This window comes from Homo sapiens, chromosome 4 (genome assembly GCF_000001405.40).
Source record: "Homo sapiens chromosome 4, GRCh38.p14 Primary Assembly".
Classification (NCBI taxonomy): Eukaryota; Metazoa; Chordata; class Mammalia; order Primates; family Hominidae; genus Homo; species Homo sapiens.
The window spans coordinates 52,081,010-52,103,810 of record NC_000004.12 but is presented as its reverse complement, the minus strand read 5'-3'; the positions used below and the strand labels follow the sequence as shown (position 1 = coordinate 52,103,810).

General features: G+C 38.3%; 1 protein-coding gene across 13 annotated transcripts in view; it reads right to left on the bottom strand.

Annotated features, from left to right (window-relative positions):
• The window catches only part of SPATA18 (spermatogenesis associated 18), a 45,996-nt gene continuing 29,706 nt past the window's right edge, over nt 6,512–22,801 (bottom strand). For 9 of the 13 annotated variants that reach the window (NM_145263.4, NM_001297608.2, NM_001346102.2 and 6 more), the window contains 4 exons: nt 21,301–21,424; nt 18,812–18,895; nt 9,239–9,284; nt 6,512–8,931 (listed from right to left, as the gene is read on the bottom strand). In NM_145263.4, coding sequence (NP_660306.1) covers nt 8,924–8,931; nt 9,239–9,284; nt 18,812–18,895; nt 21,301–21,424 — 262 coding nt within the window. In that variant the 3' untranslated portion in view covers nt 6,512–8,923. Of the gene's footprint in view, nt 8,932–9,238; nt 9,285–18,811; nt 18,896–21,250; nt 21,425–22,801 lie in introns of those variants that run through there. The other 4 variants (NR_123728.2, NR_144359.2, XR_007096360.1 and 1 more) reach the window with 3 other exon arrangements.

Below are 22,801 nucleotides of genomic sequence, written 5' to 3'. Positions count from 1 at the left end.
TTTATTTTTTTCTCTCTTTTTTTTTTAATTGCCTTAATGGGATCAAATGCATAAATCCTTTATTACATATATAGTTATTTAACACTTCAAATTTTCTATCACACTTTTTATTTTATCCCTGGCTACCCTCCATCAATTTATTATCCAAATTCATGGAGAGCAGTAAGACCAGTAATTAAGTTATAAATTTTATCTGAGGAGTTGCTATTTGTTTCCCAATTTGAATCTTATTACTAACTGCTGGTATCCTCTCATTTCCTAAGCAACATTGCCATCTCATGGCTAACTCCATACATTTCCCAGGGAAACACCAGGCCTAGGTGAACTAGAGAGACCCTAATAGGATCAATGATGGGAACTGATTTATGTCCCTAGAATTTCCTCCAATTGTCGATCAAGTTTGGTTACAGAGGGAGAGCTCATCCCAGGAAATTGTACAACTTTGGTTTCCAGTAATCAGTGTCATTTTATCTTACATTATCACCTTTGGCTATTTGATGAAGAAAAGTTTAATTCAGTCAAGGAAAACACAAAGAGGAAAATCTGTCATTGCCACCAAGGCATCTCTTAGATCTATTAGCCAATGTATTTGAAACGCTGGCACACTCCAAGTGGAGTTACTTTTGGCCCTTTCCTGGAGATTTTCAGAACGTACTTGTCAACACTAAGATACTGTAATGATAAGAAATTATACCCAGACTTGAAAAGAAGAAAAATGCTTCAATTTTCATGAATGGAAATTGCAACAAGTTCAATTCAAGTATTATCTTTGGAACATTTGCCAAGTAAACAGAAAAAGCCAAATTTTTCTATTCAGTGTTTGCGAAAATTTTAGTTGAGGTAGGCCACCTGTGAGATCTAATATTTGAATGTCAGTTTCACTCCATTTTAGATTTTTCTCTAGAGACTCATATGAATAACTATAAAGATGTTCCCAAATCTGAATCATCCAGGTGACATCTAGCTCTATTTGGCAGATGACCATGACTAATCAAACAATGACCAATAGGGACTCATTATTCTAAGTCTATGACTGCAAATCTCAATGACACATAGTGAACACAGACTTGTAAGATGGAAGGAAATGACTTATAAGTTTAGTAAGAAAACATATTCTGTCAGTTCAACAAAGAAGCTGTCCAAATATAAACCACAAGATAAGCAAATTTTTACCTCTAGGGAAGACAGAAGTACTATACTTTCTCATCCTTCTCCTTTTATTGAAAATTTAATTGCATAGCCCATAATTAGCTATTTACATATGAATTTTCAGTAAATTATCTATTTCTGGATTGTAGCAAATAACATTCTGAGAGTCTTTTAAACGGAGACATCATTTTCCATTTAGAAATTTCCATCTATTGCATGTATGATGCTGCCCCATCATATATGCAATAATTTATTTTTGCAATATTCTCCTTGTCGGGCATTAAGGATGGTCCAGACTAGTGTTTTTCACACTTGGCTACTGATGTTGAAAATACAGATGTCCCTGGAGACTTTGATCCAGGGAGCTTGAGGTGGGATCCAAGAGTTTACCTCTAATAATCAAGCCAAGTGATTTTCATCATCAAACAAACTTTGAAAATACTAGTCAACATTTTCATTGAAGTTACTCAAAATCTAAGTATATTCAAAGCTCAGACTTATTGGAAGTGTAATTCATCTTAAAACTTGTCACTTTTTAATAACCCATATATTTTTTAAATGTGAAACATAATTTGAAATGTTCATAAAATGCATTCATGAATTATGATATAAATGAATCTTCACATGAAATGCTATTTAGTGTGTCCTAATTTTGAATAATGTGTATTTGTCACTTTCATTGGCTCATAATTCCATTTAAGATTAGGTGTCTGTATTTTTTCATAAATTTTTTGATGCCTAATATTTCTGCATATTTATGAGGTACATATCATATTTTGTTACATGCATAGAATGTGTAATAATCAAGTCATGGTATTTAGGATATCCATCACCTCGAGCATTTATCATTTTGTTGTGTTGGGAACATTGCAAACCCTCTCTTCTAGCTATTTTGAAATATATATTGTTATTAACTGTAGTCACCCTAATGTGTTACTGAACATTAGAACTTATTCTATCTGCATGTATGTTTGTACTGATTAACTCACCTCTCTTTATCTCCCCACAATCCCCCCAAAACACACACACCCATCCCAGCCACTAGTAACTATCATTCTACTTTCTACCTCCATGAGATCAACTACTTTTAGCTCCCCCATGAGTGAGAACATGTGATATTTTTGTCTTTCTGCATCTGGCTTATGGGTGCCTGTATTTAAGAAGCATAAATGGATTTGCATCAGGGAGATTAATTAGGAAAACTCAAACCATGAGAAAGAAAGAAATTATAAGAGAAGCAGGGAGAAAAAATAGAAGTGAAGATGAAAAGGTACAATAGGGTAAGGGACTTAAGGAAAAATAGAAACACAGGAAAAACAACACTGACATAAATATTAGGGCTCAAGTGAATTTTATTTTATGATACAGTTAATAGAAGGGTGTAGAAAATAGATGAAAGGAAAAGATAGAATAGACGAAAGGGAAACATAGATATAAAGAAGAGATTTCTGTAAAAGGTTTTGGCCTTTAGTAGATAATTTGTTGGGTGAAAACTGTTTATCTGGTGATAAAACATAACTCCAAATGGTCAGCAACATCTTTAATTCGAAGGAAACAGGTCCCAAGGAAGCATTTTCTAAAACAGATCTTCTGGCACAGTACAGTGGCAAGAGCTTCATGAAGAAAGGGGTTCCTTGGTGAAATCAGTTTGGAGAATGCTGCATATTACATTCTTCTTCTTAAAGATTCTCATGCACAGTAGAGGATTAGGAGAAGACCTGTTAAACTCACTCTTACCTCAGTGTTTTCCAGGCCTGTCTGACCATAGGACTCATTTCACTCTAAATCTTACTAACATCCTATAGAGTTATTGACAAGAGGGTGGGTTGAATATCAGAAAACCTGGGTTTGAACCTTCACTCCAACATTTACTAGCTATGTGACCTGAGGCAGATTACTTAATAATAACCTTAAGCCTCAGCTTCTCCCTGTGTGAAATGGGTTTAATAATGTAAAGTTTTGGCACAATGTCGGGTACATGGTAAATGCTGGATTAAGTACCAGTTATTAGTTATCTTTCAGAAGATATTTTGGGAAACCTATGAACATCCTAAGCTTTCTGCCAAATTATCAATAAAAAGTACTAAATTATGCCATCATTCTTAGAACATCTAGAAGAAATATATTTTTCCAATCAAAGAAAATTAGCAAGTTTTTCTTTTATTTTTCCTTCCCTGCCTCCTCCACAAACTTTTTTTTTCCAGTTAGGAAATTTCAAATCAAACTAAGAAAAAACATAAATTAGTCACATCACAGCAAGTCAATGATTTGCAGCAAGGAGGTGTCATAAGCAACAGTCTAGACATAAATAGAACAGTATAGACATAAATAGATCTTGGATCAAAGATAACCATTTCTAAGGTGAAGCTGCCTTAGAAAACCACAACTCTCTCACAGGCCAGTAAGACTGTGTTCATGCCAAACACAACAGTGGAATAGGCGAAACCTGGTTTCCTGCCCTTGACTATCCAGCTCAGATAAAAAAAAAAAAGCCTTCCTTACAAAACCTGCCAACCCTGATCATGTACTAAGGGCCCTACGAGTCTGCATTGCTCCCTCTACCCATATGACTTTCAGGAAGAATCTAAAACCTCATTCATGCTATGGGGTTACTGCTCTGAATTATGTGCATTTGCATTCTAACATCCTTCAACTTCAGTCTGAGTAAAATTCTAAAAGTGAAATGTCAGGAATTTGCTAATAAAGTGTGGAGTGGGGAGGTCTTCCTAGGGAGAGCTCCTACAAGTACTTCTGTGGAAAGTAGATTCTCCAACCTCTGTGTCTGCTCTGGTTCTAAAGCCTTATTTCTAAGGGTGCATGCAAGGTCCTTTGGGCCCTGTTTGGCATTTTCAGCACTTTACTCAGGCAGCATCTGGATTTTCTCAGATCCATTCTCACTGTATGTTACACCGGGCAGGGAAACCTCCTGTTTGAAGCCTGAATGAGTTATTACACATTACTAAGTCTGGGCTTCCAGGTGACAGTGCCAGGAAAGATTGATTCAACCCTCTATCAACATCATGGACTTACTATTATCTCCCAAACAAGATGTCATTAACAGCCACTGCCCCATCTTTCAGAAAGATCACAGATCTATCCCATAGGTACACACTGCCAAGGAGTGCTGAGAGCACTCTCTCCATAACTGAAAGTCTTGCTCACCACTGTGTCCTCAGGGTCTAATGCAGTGCCTGGAACACTACTTAACAAAGCATCAGCAAGTGCTTCTTAAATGAATTAATGATGAATGAACAAATAACATTTTTCCATTCCAACTTCAAATTTGTGACCCAATCCTAAGTCTATTATTCTAAAGACATGGTTCTGAAACGTGTTCCCTGACCTAAGAAAACAGAAATAAATAGGAGGAAAATGTCACGCTCAATCCTCAGCATCCCAACCCCAGAAATCAATTGTTGAAGTGTCTGATTCATCAAATGACACTCAAGGTCTTCAGACAGTTGTCCAATTACTAAATAGTTTTGTAAGACATATTTTATCTCACATTTTAATACACTTATTTCCACTGTATCTCCAAAATTATGGCTTAAACTACATTGAAATAAACCTGTAACATAACCATTTATTACATTCATTTGTTGCTTACCCAGCAAAGAATAGAGATAGCTGCTTGGTGTTGATAGGCAGTTGTCAATGATATTATAGAAAGTATGATGTTCATGCTGACACCCAGTATGCAGTTTTTTAAGAGTAAAATTGTCCCATTGCATTTCATTTTGAAATAAGAAAATTAGTTCCTCTTTTATTTTTAAGGCCTCTGCCCACACTGTATTAAGTAAGACCAATGCACTTCATTGCTTTGGTATTTAAGTGGCATATACTGAATGCCACTTATCTATAGGGCTCCTGGGCTCATGTTTCAATGACCTCATGCGGTGTGTAACATTAGTTTCTTAAAAGCTCCATAGCCTCTTGCCTTTAATTATAGGTATGAAATTATTCAAAGCAATACTACTAAGACATCTTCCACTCAACCCAAATGTTATAGAATGCTATTGGCAGCAATCCACCTCATGAAGGATTTGTGGGGTACTTAAAAGGAAATTAGAATGGCCTGCAAATTGCCTTTACTTAGGAATACAGCAGGTGGAGCACCCAGCTATGGTCATGGGAGGTGCAAGAATTGATCTTATGAGCCCATCCTTCTCCCCACACTCATTTTATTACTAATAATCCTAGGATTATAGGCTTAATAAATCTTTGTTAAAGGACTGAGTAATTCACCTGTGGCTGACATAATTGAGTTACACTCTATTTTGTACTTCACCATACTACTTTTCTACTATTACCTTTCAAAGTTTTTTTTATGTACAGGTATTTGCTCCATAAATTCATGTATTTAAATCCTTCAACTGATATATAACATTTTCTCTTTTAATTTTGCTGTACTCTTATTTTATTGATTTCTTCCTTCATATCTGCTCTCTACGACACAAAAATCACCAAGGAATGCAACTGAACATGACATAAAACTCATAAAAACCAGAGCCTTGTCCACCACTATATCCCTAGAAGTGTGTATTATGGGTAGCACAGAGGAGGTATTCAATAAGATTATGAATGAATAAATGAACAATCAATAAACAGAAAAACTGATAATGTATGTCATGAAGAAACAAAAAGAACAGGACAGAATCTTATTCTGAAATAAAAGTCAGTCTTGGAACAAGACTGAATAGTGTATCGGATGAACAGATTCCTTACATATAAAGTTGACACACCTTGATTGCCATGGTAAGTGAAATAATGTAAGTGAAAGCTCCACAAAATGGTAAAGCACTACTCAGAGAGAGTGTCTTGAACATGACAATGAGCTGTGAATAAAATAAAGCTAGCAATTAAGGCTACCATATGGAATTGCAGCAATCCCATGGTCTTCCTCAGCGCAGGGTGCAGTAAGTATTTCTGAATGAATTTATGGTCCTGGTTTGGACCACAGACATTGGTATGGTTTGGTTCTGTGTCCCCATCCAAATCTGATCTCAAATTGTAATCTCCATGTGTCGAGGGAGGGACCTGGTGGGAGGTGACTGGATCATGGGGGCAGTTCCCCCCATGCTGTTCTTGTGATAGTGAGTTCTCACAAGATCTGATGGTTTAAACGCGCTTGGCAGTTCCCTCCTTGCGCTCTCTCTGCTGCCAACTTGTGAAGAAGGCATTTGTTTCTCCTTTACCTTCTGCCATGACTGTAAGTTTCCTGAGGGTTCCCAGCCATGCAGAACTATGAGTCAATTAAAAAAACCTCTTTCGTTATAAATTACCCAGTCTCAAGTAGTTCTTTATAGCAGTGTGAAAATGGACTAATACAGAGATTATAGATGGGTAAAGGACATCATTGAACTTGGGACTGTAGAAGGAAAGCATTTTATTGCAAATAACTAATAGTTACAAAAGCACTTTTTAAATGTTATTATTAGATGTTAAGCCGAAAATCTAGAAACTAACATTTACCCAGGTTACAAAATAAGAGCTTCACATTTTTCAAAGTCTCTAAGGGTAAGGTACATCCCCAGATAAAATGAGTATAGGCCAGTCTCCTTTGGCTTTGTGGATTCTTTCCAAAAATTTTCCAGACTATTTAGCTTTCCTTGTGTAGTTACAGCTCAAATTAGAAACTGAAGAAACAGCAAGTGGCCAGGCAGGGTAGAAAGCAAATAAACTGAGCTACCTGTGCCTTTTTCCAAATCAGTATATGTGCTTGGCTCCTGAAAAAAAAAATTCTGATATGTAGGCATTCTCATTACTTAGTGAGATATTAGTGAAGACCTTTCAACGTATAACACACAGTAACTGTTGCATAGTTTTAATAAACACTTGAATTTTCCAGGAATGTGACTGCTGTGTAAATCAGGGCAAGACTGTAAGGTTTTTTTTTTTTTGTTTAAAACATTAACAAGAATTGCCCACCACTTCAGAAAGTCACATCCAATGACAACACCGTGATTTTCTGTTGCCAATACACACATTGATTTTCATTTGTAGCTGGTGGCTCTACATGCAGGTTCAGCCATCTAATGACTTAATTTTATCTTCTAGGGTGGTTATACCCAAGCTTTTTTATTGAAATACATTTTATTTTATTAAAAGTTGCCTTTTTTTCTGCTTTATATTATAGTTAGGGTACTATGTTCACTGCTTAAAATTATACATGCACATAGATGATTATATTAACTTTAATTTTCATTTCATATTCAGAATAAAATACTTGTTATAAAAGGGAACATTGAGTCTGCAGGGTTAAGAGGGGCACTAATTGTATCCAACCTCCTCACCCTATGATAAAACCAAGGCTCAGAGAAGTGAAGTAACTTGCTCAGTGCCACAAAGCAAGCTGATGACCAAGTCATGACTAGCAGTTACCTAGGCAGATAGTGCTCCTTCCAGCACACTGCATTGCTTCAAAGTGATGACTAATGTAAATATGCAAAGAGGGCAAAAAATTCAACTCATACTTCAGAATGAGGTGGTGACCATTAGACTCAAGGGGCAGGCACTGAAGAGGTCCCTCAAACCTCCAGCACAGGGGTAAGATGCTTTAGAGAAGCTGTTTGTTTTATTTTCACCTGAAAAGCATCAGGTGCTGGTTCTGGCACTAAGCTTATGCAAAACTGAGCTGAGGCCAATTCAGTGTCTCTCTCAAAGGTATGTGGAGAAAGTAGATGTTTGTGAGGCATGTGTTTAAGGCTGACTTAAAAGTGAAAAAAAGGCAGAAAGAACATTACTTATTGCAAGAAAGCAACATTCCATTCTTATCTTGAACGTGAAGTTTCAAAAGTATTTGACAGTGAAGAAGTCAAGGGATATATACTCAATTTAAAATCAGTAAATGGTGCCCCTAGTTTTGGGCCTTGAGTTTAAGTAGTTTTGGTCAGACAGAGTTCAATAGGAGGTCTGAATTTGCAAATAACTAGGTAGAACAGGTGAAGAGCATGTCCCAAGAAACTTTTATATATAACACATGCATTAAAACAGTTTGAAATATTCCCAGGAGATATGCATGAGGTAATTAACATTTATCTCAAAGCTGGCTTCTAATCAAATCACTGCTCTACATTTATGAACAAGGAAATTCTCTCAACTAAGTAGCTTTGACATTCATTGGTCAACTAAACCAAACTGGGCACTCTCAAAATCAGAACGGAAAAGCAAGCCAACCAATAAATATAATTTGTTGGCTAATATATAAAGAAAATGTATCTTAAATTATCTTCTACACTTAGCCTTAAGTCACTGCTACTAACATGAGCTCCCCAACCTGAGATTAGGGCTGTCTTCCAAACCTTAAAAGGAAATTAAAACACCTAATATTGGTTTTGAGCTAAAGCTGATACCAACAATTATATTTACGATCCATCTGCAAACTAAAATGATTCATCTTTTCTTTTAGCCTCAGCATGGTAGATGCTTTCCACTTCAGTTCACACAGTTCCCATAAAAGAGCGTAGTGTTTTGAGATGGAAATCTTGAACCTTTGTAACGGACTTTGCTTCGAATGAATATGATCCTAAATGCCTATACAATCATTTTTATGAAATTAATGGAATTAGTATCTATAAAATAAAATAGAATGCAATATATCTAAAGTTACAAATGCGCCAAGCCAAAACATTTAACTCTCTGTGTGGGGTGATACACAGAATTGCCTTTTGACATTATCTTAAGTGAGGTCTGAGGCAGACACAGAAGACAGATGGCGGCACTGGAGAAAGCAGCTGTTTCCACGCACTGGGTCAAAGGAGCAGGTCTGGTGCTTTTAAAATCCTAGGGAGAAAAATAGACAGTTCATTATTATGGTCACTTTCTTCGATTTTCTTTTGGAAGCACCTAAATGAAAGAGGCGGTTAATCTAGGTTTATGGCAATGAAGCCTCTTGGTTGGAAGCTCCTTCTACATGACCCATGGGACCTGCCTGGGTACCATCAGCCAGAGGCCCAGACATGAAAGGTGTGAGGAGTAAGAAAAAGATGCTCTCTAGGAAGCAAAGCATTCATTTTGCTGCTCAGTGCTAAGTACTAGAAGGAGTATTAAAAAGCAGAAAATTTGATCCATCTGAACTAATCCCACTTACTTGGCAATCCACATCTTATTGGAGAAGGACTCCGACTTCGAGACATCTGGAAAATATAAAAGAATAATGTGAATTACATAGTAGACGGAGCTCAAAGGATGAATTCTTTTGACATATTTTTTTTCCCTAAAACCAACCAAATAGCTTTCTCTGAGGCACTTTAGCACTATGATTTTTCACCCTAAGGTTGACTATTGTGATTCTTTTTAGACTTCTGAAGTATTGGTTTAAATTATATTATTAGTTAAAAGCTGGGTTCAGTAGCCTAAGAGCAGCCATACTGAATTCAGTGCTTTCCAGAAAATAAAAATATTTATTAAAACTCACAAATTAAAGCTAAAATGATGATACAATATCTGGGAGATCCTTTATAAAAATTATAAGTCATAAACTCTGCTCTATTAAGAAGGGTCACCAGGCAACCAGAAAATCTTCATCTTTCAAATCTCACCTTTACTTTCACTAAGTAGAAGGTACTGCACCGGAACCACAAGTCAGTGACATAGCCGGTCAGGCGTAACTGGCTACAAGCATCATCCTTGCTCTGAGCTTTCAAACACTCTAGATAAATAGATGCTGATAAAGATGGAATCCATTCTGGATGAATCAAGACCCCCACATAGGCAAAAATAAACCCAACTAACCAAAAATATTTGTATTTTATTTTGCAGGTATACCCAGTTTTGTTGTGGCAAGAGGATGATGGAAACAGACAGAAAGTTGACTGCAGTGATACCTTTGAGATTAGATTTTATTCTCATCTAAAGTTTAAATTAATGTGTTCTTTCTGAGCACAACATGAGAAAGAAAGAGAAGGTATAGGGGATTCTCACAGAGGACATTGCCCATGAATAAGCCTTTTGATGGGAGTCCGGAGTTACAATTTGCCATGGCTGTTGCACAATAACTGTCTAATAGTATTTTCTTCTTATATGCCATTTCCTCTTAGAATGAGGAATTCTGGTTCTCTCAGTATCATGCTCCCAATGTTTCCTTTTTATTTACCAGTCTACTAAGTGCACTATTGTTTTGCTTTTACTTACCATAAATACTTATTCATGAAAAAAGATAATGATGCTATATGAAAATCTCTAAGAGCAAAAGGATTGTGCCAGATGCATGACTTTTCCATTTCCCTATCATTTTTTAGGTCATTTTCTTCACCTGAATATTCCTTCCCAATTTCCTAGCCCATTGAAATTCCACCCATTCTAAAACACCAAATTAAATACTACCACCCCATTGAATGCCTTCCTCATGACCAAATCTGGGAGGAATCTCTATCTCATCTGATGACTCTAGCCCTTTCTGCTTCTTTTATTGACTATCATATTGTATCATATTATAGATGTATTGGTTTGTTGACTGTATCACATTCAGCTAATCTGTTTAAATCATAATAATCTTTCTCTTTCCTATATTTTATTTTTCTTTTTAAGTTTAGGGGTACATCTGCAGGTTTGTTATATTGGTAAAACCTTGTCATGGGGGATTTCTGGACAGATTTTCATCACCTGGGTATTAAGCCTAGTACCAATTAGTTATTTTTCCCGATCCTCTCCCTCCTCCCACCATCCACTCTCTGGTGGTCCCCAGTGTCTGCTGTTCCCTCTTTGTGTCCATGTGTTCTCATCATTTAGTTTCAACTTATAAGTGAGAAAGGTATTTGGTTTTCTGTTCCTGTGTTAGTTTGCTAAAGATAATGACCTTCAGCTCCATCCATGTTCCTGCAAAGGACATGGTCTCGTGATCTTCCTATATTAAGACCTATTCAGAGAAGATAACATGTTTTTGTCATTTTTGTGTCCCTCCCAAATCAAGCATCCATCAGATCCAGAAAGAATGTATGATAAGGAGCATGCAGGAGTCACAATAGATGCTCATTAAAGTCCGTAAGGGGGAGTAGATTCAAGATGGCTGAATAGAAACAGCACTGGTCTGCAGCCCCCAGCAAGATCAACGCAGAAGGCAAGTGAGTTCTGCATTTCCAACTGAGGAACCCAGTTCATCTCATTGGAACTGGTTGGACAGAGGGTGTAGCCCATGGAGGGCAAGCCAATGTATGGTGGGGCATCACCTCACCTGGGAAGTGCAAAGGGCCAGAGAATGTTCCCCCCTACCCAAGGGAAGCCGTGAGGGTCTGAGCCTGAGGAACTCTGGCACAGATGCTGCGCTTGTCCCATGGTCTTTGCAACCTGCAAACCAGGAGATTCCCTCCAGTGACTACCTCACCAGGGCCCTGGGTTTCAAGCACAAAACTGGGCAGCCAATTGGGCAGACATCAAACTAGCTGCAGGGGCTTTTTTTTTTTTCTCCCATATCCCAGTGGCGCCTGGAACACCAGCAAAACAGAACCGTTCACTTCCCTGGAAAGGGGGCAATGAACCCAGGCAGCCAAGAGGTCTGGCTCAGCGGGTCCCATCCCCACGGAGCCCAGGAAACTAAGATCCACTGGCTTGAAATTCTCACTGCCAGCACAGCAGAAATCTGAGATCTATCTGGGATGGTCAAGCTTGGTCGGGGAGGGGTGTCCACCATTGCTGAGGCTTGAGTAGGCGGTTTTACAGCCACAGTGTAAACAAAGCTGCTAGGAAGTTCAAATTGGGTGGAGCACACTGCAGCTCAGCAAGGCTGCTGTGGCCAGACTGGCAGATTGCTCCTCTTTGGACAGGGCATCTCTGTAAAAAAGGCAGCAGCCCCAGTCAGGGGCTTATAGCAGACTTAAACGTCCCAGCCTGATGGCTCTGAAGAGAGCAGCAAACCTCCCAGCCCAGCATTCGAGCTCTGCTAAGGGTCAGTCTACCTTCTCAAGTGGATCCCTGACTCCTGTGTATACTGACTGGGAGACACCTCCCAACTGGGGCCAACAGACACCTCATACAGGAGCGCTCTGGCTGGCATCTGGCAGGTGCCCCTCTGGGTTAAAGCTTCCAGAGGAAAGAACAGGCAGCAATCTTTGCTGCTCTGCAGCCTCCACTGGTGATACCCAGGCAAACAGGGTTGGGAGTGGACTTTCAGTAAACTCCAGCAGGCTGACAGCAGAGGGGCCTGACTGTTAAAAGGAAAAGAAACAAACAGAAAGGATTAGCATGTCCACTCAAAGACCCCATCCAAAGGTCACCAACATCAAAGACCAAAGGTAGATAATTCCACAAAGATGGGGAAAAACCAGCACAAAAAGGCTGAAAATTCCAAAAACCAGAACACCTTTCCTCCTCCAAAGGATCACAACTCATAGCCAGCAAGGGAACAAAACTGGATGGAGAATGAGTTTGATGAACTGACAGAAGTAGGCTTCAGAACGATGGTAATAACAAACAACTCCAAGCTAAAGGAGTATGTTCTAACCCACTGCAAGGAAGCTAAGAACCTTGAAAAAAGGTTAGTCGAATTGCTAACTAGAATAACCAATGTAGAGAAGAACATAAATGACCTGATGGGGCTGAACACAGCACAAGAACTTCGTGAGGAATACACAAGTATCAATAGCCAAATCAATCAAGCAGAAGAAAGGATATCAGTGATTGAAGATTAACTTAATGAAATAAAGAGAGAAGACAAGATTAGAGAAAAAAGAATAAAAAGGAACAAACAAAGCCTCCAAGAAATATGGGATTATGTTAAAAGACCAAATCTACATTTGACTGAAAATGTACTTGAAAGTGATGGGGAGAATGGAACCAAGCTGGAAAACACTCTTCAGGTTATTATCCAGGAGATATTCCCCAACCAAGCAAGACAGGCCAAGATCCAAATTCAGGAAATACAGAGAACTCCACAAAGATGCTCTTCAAGAAGAGCAACCCCAAGACACATAATCGTCAGATTCACCAAGGTTGAAATGAAAGAAAAAATGCCAAGGGCAGCCAAAGAGAAAGGTTGGGTTAACCACAAAGGGAAGCTCATCATACTAACAGTGAGTGAATCTGTCTGCAGAAAACCTACAAGCCAGAAGAGAGTGAGGGCCAATATTCAACGTTCATTAAAGAAAAGAATTTTTAACCCAGAATTTCATATCCAGCCAAACTAAGCTTCATAAGCAAAGGAGAAATAAAATCCTTTACAGACAAGCAAATGCTGAGGGATTTTGCCATCACCAGACCTGCCTTACAAGAGCTCCTGAAAGACGCACTAAACATGAAAAGGAAAAACCGGTACCAGCCACTGCAAAAACAAACCAAAATGTAAAGGCCATTGACACTATGAAGGAACTGCATTAACTAATGGGCAAAACAATCAGCTAGCATCATAATGACAGGATCAAGTACACACATAACAATATTAACCTTAAATGTAAACGGACTAAATGCCCCAATTAAAAGACACAGACTGGCAAACTGGATAAAGAGTCAAGACCCATCAGTGTGCTATATTCAGGAAACTGATCTCACGTGCAAAGACACACATAGGCTCAAAATAAAGGGATGGGAGAATATTTACCAAGCAAATGGAAAGCAAAAAAAAGCAGGGGTTGCAATCCTAATCTCTGATAAAACAGACTTTAAACCAACAAAGATCAAAAGAGGCAAAGAAGGGCATTACATAATGGTAAAGGGAACAATGCAGCAAGAACTAACCATCCTAAATATATATGCACCCAATACAGAAGCACCCAGATTCATAAAGCAAATTCTTAGAGACCTACAAAGAGACTTATACTCCCACACAATAATAGTGAGAGACTTTAACACCCCACTGTCAATATTAGACAGATCAATGAGACAGAAAATGAACAAGGATATTCAGGACTTGAACTCAGGTCTAGACCAAGTGGACCTAATAGACCTCTACAAAACTCTCCACCCCAAATCAACAGAATATACATTCTTCTCGGCACCAGATAGCACTTATTCTAAAATTGACCACATAATTGGAAGTAAAACACTCTTCAGCAAATGCAAAAGTATGGAAATAATAACAAACAGTCTCTCAGATCACAGAGCAATCAAATTAGAACTCAGGTTTAAGAAACTCACTCAAAAGCACACAAATACATAGAAACTGAACAACCTGCTCCTGAATGACTACTGGGTAAATAACGAAATGAAGGCAGAAATAAAGATGTTCTTTGAAACCAATGAGAACGAAGACAACTTACCAGAATCTGTGGGACACATTTAAAGCAGTGTTTAGAGATAAATTTATAGCATTAAATACCCATAAGACAAAGCAGGAAAGATCTAAAATTGACACCCTAACATCAAAATTAAAAGAACTAGAGAAGCAACAGCAAACAAATTCAAAAGCTAGCAGAAGGCATGAAATAACTAAGATCAGAGTAGAACTGAAGGAGATAGAGACATTAACAACACTTCAAAAAATCAATGAATCCAGGAGCTGGTTTTTTTAAAAAAGATCTGCAAAATAGATATACTGCTAGCCAGACTAATAAGGAAGAAAAGAGAGAAGAATCAAATAGACACAATAAAAAATGATAAGAGGGGTATCATCACTGATCCCACAGAAATACAAACTACCATCAGAGAATACTATAAACACCTCTTCACAAATAAACTAGAAAATCTAGAAGAAATGGATAAATTCCTGGACACATACACCCTCCCAAGTCTAAGCCAGGAAGAAGTCGAATCCCTGAATAGACCAATAACAAGTTCTGAAACTGAGGCAGTAATTAATAGCCTACCAACCAAAAAAAGTCCAGGACCAGACGGATTCACAGCTGAATTCTACCAGAGGTACAAAGAGGAAATGGTACCATTCGTTCTGAAACTATTCCAAACAATAGAAAAATAGGGAATCCTCCCTAACTCATTTTAAGAGGCCAGCATCATCCTGACACCAAAACCTGGCAGAGACACAACAAAAAAAGAAAATTTCAGGCCAATATCCCTGATGAACATCGATGCAAAAATCCTCAATAAAATACTGGCAAACTGAATCCAGCAGCACATCAAAAAGCTTATCCACTATGAACAAGTTGGCTTCATTCCTGGGATGCAAGGCTGGTTCAATATATGCAAATCAATAAACGTAATCCATCACATAAACAGAACCAATGACAAAAACCACATGATTATCTTAATAGATGCAGAAAAATTCAATAAATTCAATAAAATTCCACACGCCTTCATGCTAAAAAACTCTCAATAAACTAAGTATCAATGGAACATATCTCAAAATAATAAGAGCTATTTATGACAAATCCACAGCCAATATCATACTTGCTGAATGGTAAAAACTGGAAGCATTCCTTTTGAAAACCGGCACAAGACAAGGATGCCTTCTCTCACCACTCCTATTCAACACAGTATTGGAAGTTCTGGCCAGGGCAATCAGGCAAGAGAAAAAAATAAAGGGGATTCAAATAGGAAGAGAGGAAGTCAAATTGTCTCTGTTTGCAGATGACATGATTGTATATTTAGAAAACCGCATCGTCTCAGCCCAAAACCTCCTTAAGCTAATAAGCAACTTCAGCAAAGTCTCAGGATACAAAATCAACATGCAAAAATCACAAGCATTCCTATACACCAATAACAGACAAACAGAGAGCCAAATCATGAGTGAACTCACATTCACAATTGCTACTAAGAGAATAAAATACCTAGGAATACAACTTACAAGGAATGTGAAGGACCCCTTCAAGGAGAACGACAAACCCACTGCTCAAGGAAATCAGAGAAGACACAAATAAATGGAAACATATTCCATGTTCATGGATAGGAAGAGTTAATATCGTGAAAATGGCCATACTGTCCAAAGTAATTTATAGATTCAATGCTATCTCCATCAAGCTACCACTGACTTTCTTCACAGAATTGGAAAAAACCACTTTAAATTTCATATGGAACCAAAAAAGAGCCCTCCTAGCCAAGACAATCCTGGGCAAGAAGAACAAAGCTAGAGGCATCACGCTACCTGACTTCAAACTATACTACAAGGCTAGAGTAAGCAAAACAGCATGGTACTTGTACAAAAACAGATATATAGACCAATGGAACAGAACAGAGGCCTCAGAAATAAAACCATACAGCTACAACCATCTGATCTTTGACAAATCTGACAAAAACAAGCAAAGGGGAAAAAAGATTTCCTATTTAATAAATGGTGTTGTGAAAACTGGCTAGCCATAATGCAGAAAACTGAAACTGGACCCCTTCCTTACACCTTTTACAAAAATCAACTCAAGATGGACCAAAGACTTAAATGTAAGACCTAGGACCATAAAAATCCTAGAAGAAAACCTGGACAATACCATTCAGGACATAGGCATGGGCAAAGACTTCACGCCTAAAACACCAAAAGCAATGGTAACAAAAGCCAAAATTGACAAATGGGATCTAATAAACTAAAGAGCTTTTGCACAGCAAAAGAAACTGTCATTAGAATGAACAGGCAACCTACAGAATGGGAGAAAATATTTGCAGTCTCTCCATCTGACAAAGGGCTAATATCCACAATCTACAAAGAACTTAAACAAATTTACAAGAAAAAAACAAACAACCCCATCAAAAAGTGGGCAAAGGATATGAACAGACGCTTTTCCAAAGAAGACATTTATGCAGCCAACAGACATATGAAAAAAATGCTCATCATCACTGGTCATTAGAGAAATGCACATCAAAACCACAATGAGATACCATCTCACACCAGTTAGAATGGCAATCATTAAAAAGTCAGGAAACAACACATCCTGGAGAGGTTGTGGAAAAATAGGAATGCTTTTACACTGTTGGTGAGAGTGTAAATTAGTTCAACCATTGTGAAAGAGAGTGTGGTGATTCCTCAAGGATCTAGAACTGGAAATACCATTTGACCCAGCAATGCCATTACTGGGCATATACCCAAATGATTATAAATCATTCTACGATAAAGACACATGCAGACATATGCTTATTGCAGCACTACTCACAAAAGCAAAGACTTGAAACCAACCCAAATGCCCATCAATGATAGAATGGATTAAGAAAATGTGGCACATATACACCATGGAATACTATGCAGCCATAAAAAAGGATGAATTTATGTCCTTTGCAGGGACATTGATGAAGCTGGAAGCCATCATTCTCAGCAAACTATCATAAGATCAGAAAACCAAACACCACATGTTCTCACTCATAAGTGGGAGTTGAACAGTGATAACACATGGACACAGGGAGGGGAACATCACACACTGGGGCCTGTCAGGGGTTGGGGGTGAGGGTCTAGGAGAGGGATAACATTAGGGGAAATACCTAATGTAGGCGATTGGTTGATGGGTGCATCAAACCACCAGGGCACGTGTATACCTATGTAACAAAACTGCATGTTCTGCACATGTAACCCAGAACTTAAAGTATAAAAGAAAAAAGTCAGTAAGGAAGCTGGGTTTCATCAACTGCAGGGGTTTTTGGTTTTGTTTTTGTTTTGCTGAGGAAGTTTTGCAACTTTGGGGCTACAGCTGCATGCTAGAGGCAATTTCAGAAAAGTGTGTAGGGTTGCCGGATGTGATTCTCCTTCTCTACCACTCTCTCTAAACAAGGTTGGACAAATATTTAAATAATTATTATTTGGAGGAACAGCACATTGTTAGCCTATTTGGTGTCCACATGTCTTGGTCTAGCCCTGTATTCAAAAGACACTGACTAAATATGTGTTGAATAAATGAATAGTGGTGAATCATAATTTTTTTAATGTTTTGGGGAGTTTTGTTTTCTTTTGTTTAAGACAGGATCTCACTCTCTCACCCAGGCTAGAGTGCAGTGTGGTACAATCACGGCTAACTGCAGCCTCGACCTCCCTGGGCTCAGATGATCCTCCCAGCTCAGCCTCCTAAGTAGCTGGGACTACAGGCACATGCCACCATGCCTGGCTAATTTGGGGGGGAATTTTTTGTTATACCCAGATAATTTGGGGGAGGATTTTTGTTTTGTTTTATAGGGACAATGTTTCCCCATGTTGCCATAGCTGGTCTCAAACTCCTGGGCTCAAGCAATCCTCCCACCTCAGCCTCTGAAAGTGCTAGAGTTACAGGTGTCAGCCACCCTACCCAGCCCATAATAATGTTTTTAGGGATGTTATCTTCATAGTTTTCATGATGTTTTTGCTGTTATTTTTTTCTTTAACAGAAGTATTAGCAATCTTTCCAAAAACTAATACACACAAAAAAACCTTATTTTTTCTAATTTGAAGTTGAGGACACATTAATACCTGCAATGCCCTTTATAAGGTATTGAAATCCAGACCATTTGAGTAATTTCTCTAAACTCATACACAAATTTCTAGAGGAACCAGGGACTTGTGCCAAGATCAGTTGACTATGGTATCCCATTCACTCTTCAGTCCACTATCTGATCTCTAATAGCCCATTTCATCCAAGATAAAAATAAAACTATGAAATACATAAAATCTACTATTCCTTGAACTAAGAAAGAAAGATAAAACTCTACTCCTTTCTAGAATAATAAATTATTTAGCCCACAGTAGTATAAAAATCAATTTGGAGCTAGCATTATTGCAACAGGTTCTCTTTCCACCTGTAGACTTATAATCACCTCTTTTGTATTGCTGAAGCAAAAAAAAAAAAAAGCCAACCATAGATGAATTTTGTGTAAAAATGATTAGATAGATATGTACCGTGTTTAAACCAATTTGGCTACGGGGGCAAATGGGACTTAAACTCCTGCTTCGACAACGACTTACAGATCGCACCGAATTCCACTTAAAAAAGAGAGAGAAAGAGAGAGACATAGTCAGGAGTTTGTGAAAACTGTCATGGCTCAAAACAACATGCATATCCCACAGAATAAGAGTTTTACTTATGTGATTACACTTGCCCATTACTGATCATCTGCACAAGCCACACTCCGTTCACCTCCTATAGCTGCCCAATATTTGGCAGTAACTTCAGGTACTTTTTAAATATAATCCCATTACAATGAACCTTGGGATATTCTGGTGTTTGATGCCAGTAGAATGTTTTTTATGAGTAAGCTATTGGAAATTACATAGGAGTTTGTTAGTGCTGGAGAATGTAAGCTCCATGTGGGTAGAGATTTGTATCTGTTTTATTTATTGCTAAATCTCTAGCACATAAATACAGTGTTTGGGTCATAAATAACTATTGAATAAATAAATATCATTGGATGAATGAATAAAACACCACTACTGCCTATCTGCTTTCTAACTAAATGAATAAGAAGAAAGCTATAGTCACTAAAATGAGATTTTACTGGTAAAATCCTTGAAATTTCCCTACTTCAACCCCTTTCTTTTCCAAGTTCTTTCTTTTAGGAAGAACTTCCTATTATTTTGTTTTAGGGTTTAAGCTTGGACAAATGTTCCTGATATGCTTGATGGGAGAGAAGAAGGAAGTTAAAAGGCAATGGCTATTTGATGTAAAACGTAAGAATAATGGGTATTTCTTCTCCCTCCTTTCCAAACTGCGCAACAGATAAGATCTTCTTAACAGAGTGTGACTGCTGTAGGAGCAAGAAGTATGTTTTATTGTAGAACATGTGTAGCTGTTGGATCAATAAAACCCAATTTCTATTTCTATGGACTCAATATCTTTTTTTTTTTTTTTGACAGGATCTCAGGCCGGGTGTGGTGGTTCATGCCTGTAATCGCAGCACTTTGGGATGCTGAGGTGGGTGGATCATGAGGTCAGGAGTTTGAGACCAGCCTGACCAACATGGTGAAACCCCGTCTCTACTAAAAATATGAAAATTAGCTGGGCATGGTGGCATGCACCTGTAATCCCAGCTACTTAGGAGGCTGAGGCAGGAGAATCGCTTGAACCTGGGAGGCGGAGGTTGCAGTGAGCTGAGATCGTACCACTGCACTCCAGCTGGGAGACAGAACGAGACTCCATCTCAAAAAAAAAAAAAAAAAAGACAGGATCTTACTCTGTCATCCAGGCTGGAGTGCAGTGGCACAATCATGGCTCACACAGCCTCAACCTCTCCAGCTCAAGCAATCCTCCCTCCTCAGCCTCCCAAGTAGCTGGTACTACAGGTATGCACCACGATGCCCAGCTAATTTGTTTATTTTTTGTAGAGATGAGGTCTCGCTATGTTGCCCAGGCTCATCTCAAACTCCTCAAACAATCCTCCTGCCTTGGCTTCCCAAAGTGCTAGGATTACAGGTGTGGGCCACCATGCCCAGCTAAGGGCTCAACATTTATGGAACAAAACATTTTAAGATAGTATTCACTGTAATGGGATTTTTAAGCTACAAAAACCCTTTTCTTCAGTTCTTTTAAAATAAAATATTCCCCTTCTCCACTGTATGTGTGAAAGCTGCCATAAAACACTTCCCCTATTCTTCAGTTCAAGGAGAACAGGAACAGAGATCAGCCAGCTGTGGGCATCATCCTGGACTAAGGGGCTTCATTTAACTCTTTCTAGGAAAGGCAGGGGTAAAAACTACATAACATAAACTATGCAGAATATCCAAGCACTACCAGTTCCATCACCCAATCCCCAGTACAACACGTACACACCCACATGCTCACATACGGTACCTAAGACTCCTTTTTTTTAAAGGCTGTTCAAGTATTTAACATTCTGTAGGTTCAAAACATTCTATAACCAATGGATATAGGAAGCGACCTTCCCAAACTGATTGGTTCCTCTCTCCCACCTCCTCTGCCCTCTTTGTCTCCATCCCTCCCCTCCATACACATCATACCAAGGAGAGAAAAACAGGGCACATTGGCAGTTTCCCAAAACAGAAAATCGTCAGTAAAAATTTGGCAAATCGTTTCCTGAGAGTTAATTGATTTTAAGTGCTTAGGATTATGGCAATCCTCCTACAAGATAACTTCAAAGGGCTTTGTTTTTAAAATATTATAATAATTCTAAGATGGAGGAGGTAAATATGACTGATTCCATCTCCTAAATAAAGCAAGAAGTAAAGAAATTACTGCCAGGAAATTATGCAGAATTATGGAAGAATCAAAGAAAAGAATCAGTTCTTCTTGAGATCATCTCCGACCTCTCCTTTGTATGAAATCTTATCAACTCTTTATAAACTTCTTTTATAGAATCTCTGGGTTTATAAATGTTCTCGAACTTGTGAATCAAACACTTGGGATGAATTGTCACTATGCAAGGCCACCGTACAAAAGCCCCTCTCCTGGTGACAGCTTCTCCCTTCATAATGACACAGTCATTCTCCATGAGAGCAGGCCACACGTGATAGAGGACTAAGGGAGCAGTGAAATCCGAGTCGTAGCTGCGGCGGTATCTGTTTTCAATATACAAAAAAAGAAAGAGAAGTTAAGCAATTATGGAGCATATCTAGGGGAAAACATCAGTGTGAATTCTCATTTTGTATTATGCTCAGATCTGAGTAAATATAGGTCAAATTCTGTTATTTAAGAATCTTTGTGGCCTCTTAGAATAGGAACTAATGATAACTGGGACCCAGCACGGATATGCTAAGACCAAATCGTGTCAAACTAATTGTATTCCTTCTCTTCTCAGGATTACAAGAGTTGCAATTCAGGGGAATTCTAAAGACATAGACTAGCATCTGAAGTCCCATCAGGCTTCCCATAGAATTTTTCATGCTGTCTTTGTGGACAAAATAAAAGAAATATAGGAGGATGATTAACTTAAGTAGGTGGATTGGAAACTAATTAAATGATCATATCCAAAGAGGGGTAATTAATGGATCGACAGAAACCTGAAGGAAGATGCTGAGGGCTCTCTCTCAATCCCATGATAAGTCATCATGTTTATGAATGAGTTGTATGAAATATAGAAAACATGCTCAAAGATGCAGGTGGTTAGGAAAAAAAAAAGATGACATTGATTAAAAACAGCTCAACAGGCTGGAACAATAAGCTGAATTTAATAAGATAAAATAAAATGTGAATAAATATGAGGTCCTATAATTGAGTCTAAAAAGCATTTTCACAAATAGAGGAGATATATGGTTTAGTCACAGTACAAGAAAAATACAGCAGGTTTCAGTTGTATTCAAAATGAATAAACACTGTTAGAAGGCTAAAAAAGAAAGAAAAACTACTGTAAGTTAGCTGAATTAATGGAGAATAAGAATAAAAAGGGTGTTAGTCCCTCTAGGCCAGTCAGTTCACTTTCTTTAAAAGGTGCACAGATCAAGAACAAGACAATGAATCTATTTGTCAAGAAGTCCCAAATCTACTTCATATGAAGAAACCCTGAAGCCCTGAGGCCAGAAGGAGGAGGGTTTGAGTAATTGCTTTCAAATGTACAAAAGGCTGCCAGGGTGAAAAAGGGTTAGCCTTGTTCTGTGAAGTTCTAGAAGTAGAACTAAATCCAATCATTGTTAGAAAATCCAATTCCAGCTGCACAGATGTCCAGGCACACAGGCCAGAGAATGCCCTAGAAGCTGCACATTCCCTCTGGTTAAAGGAATGTCAGCAAGAGGCCCTACAGAAGTCTTTGACATGTGCAGATTCCATAAACTAAAATGGTGAATGGTTCTGAATGGCACTCTCCATCCTCTAAAGGAGAAAGGAATAAAGGGAGACAAATGAAGATAATGTGCTCTGTGGAACCAAAAAGACCCAACTGCAGTGTAATGTCCTAGTATCAGCTCTTCCATGAGTTGATCCATGTTGGAGAAACTAGAAGC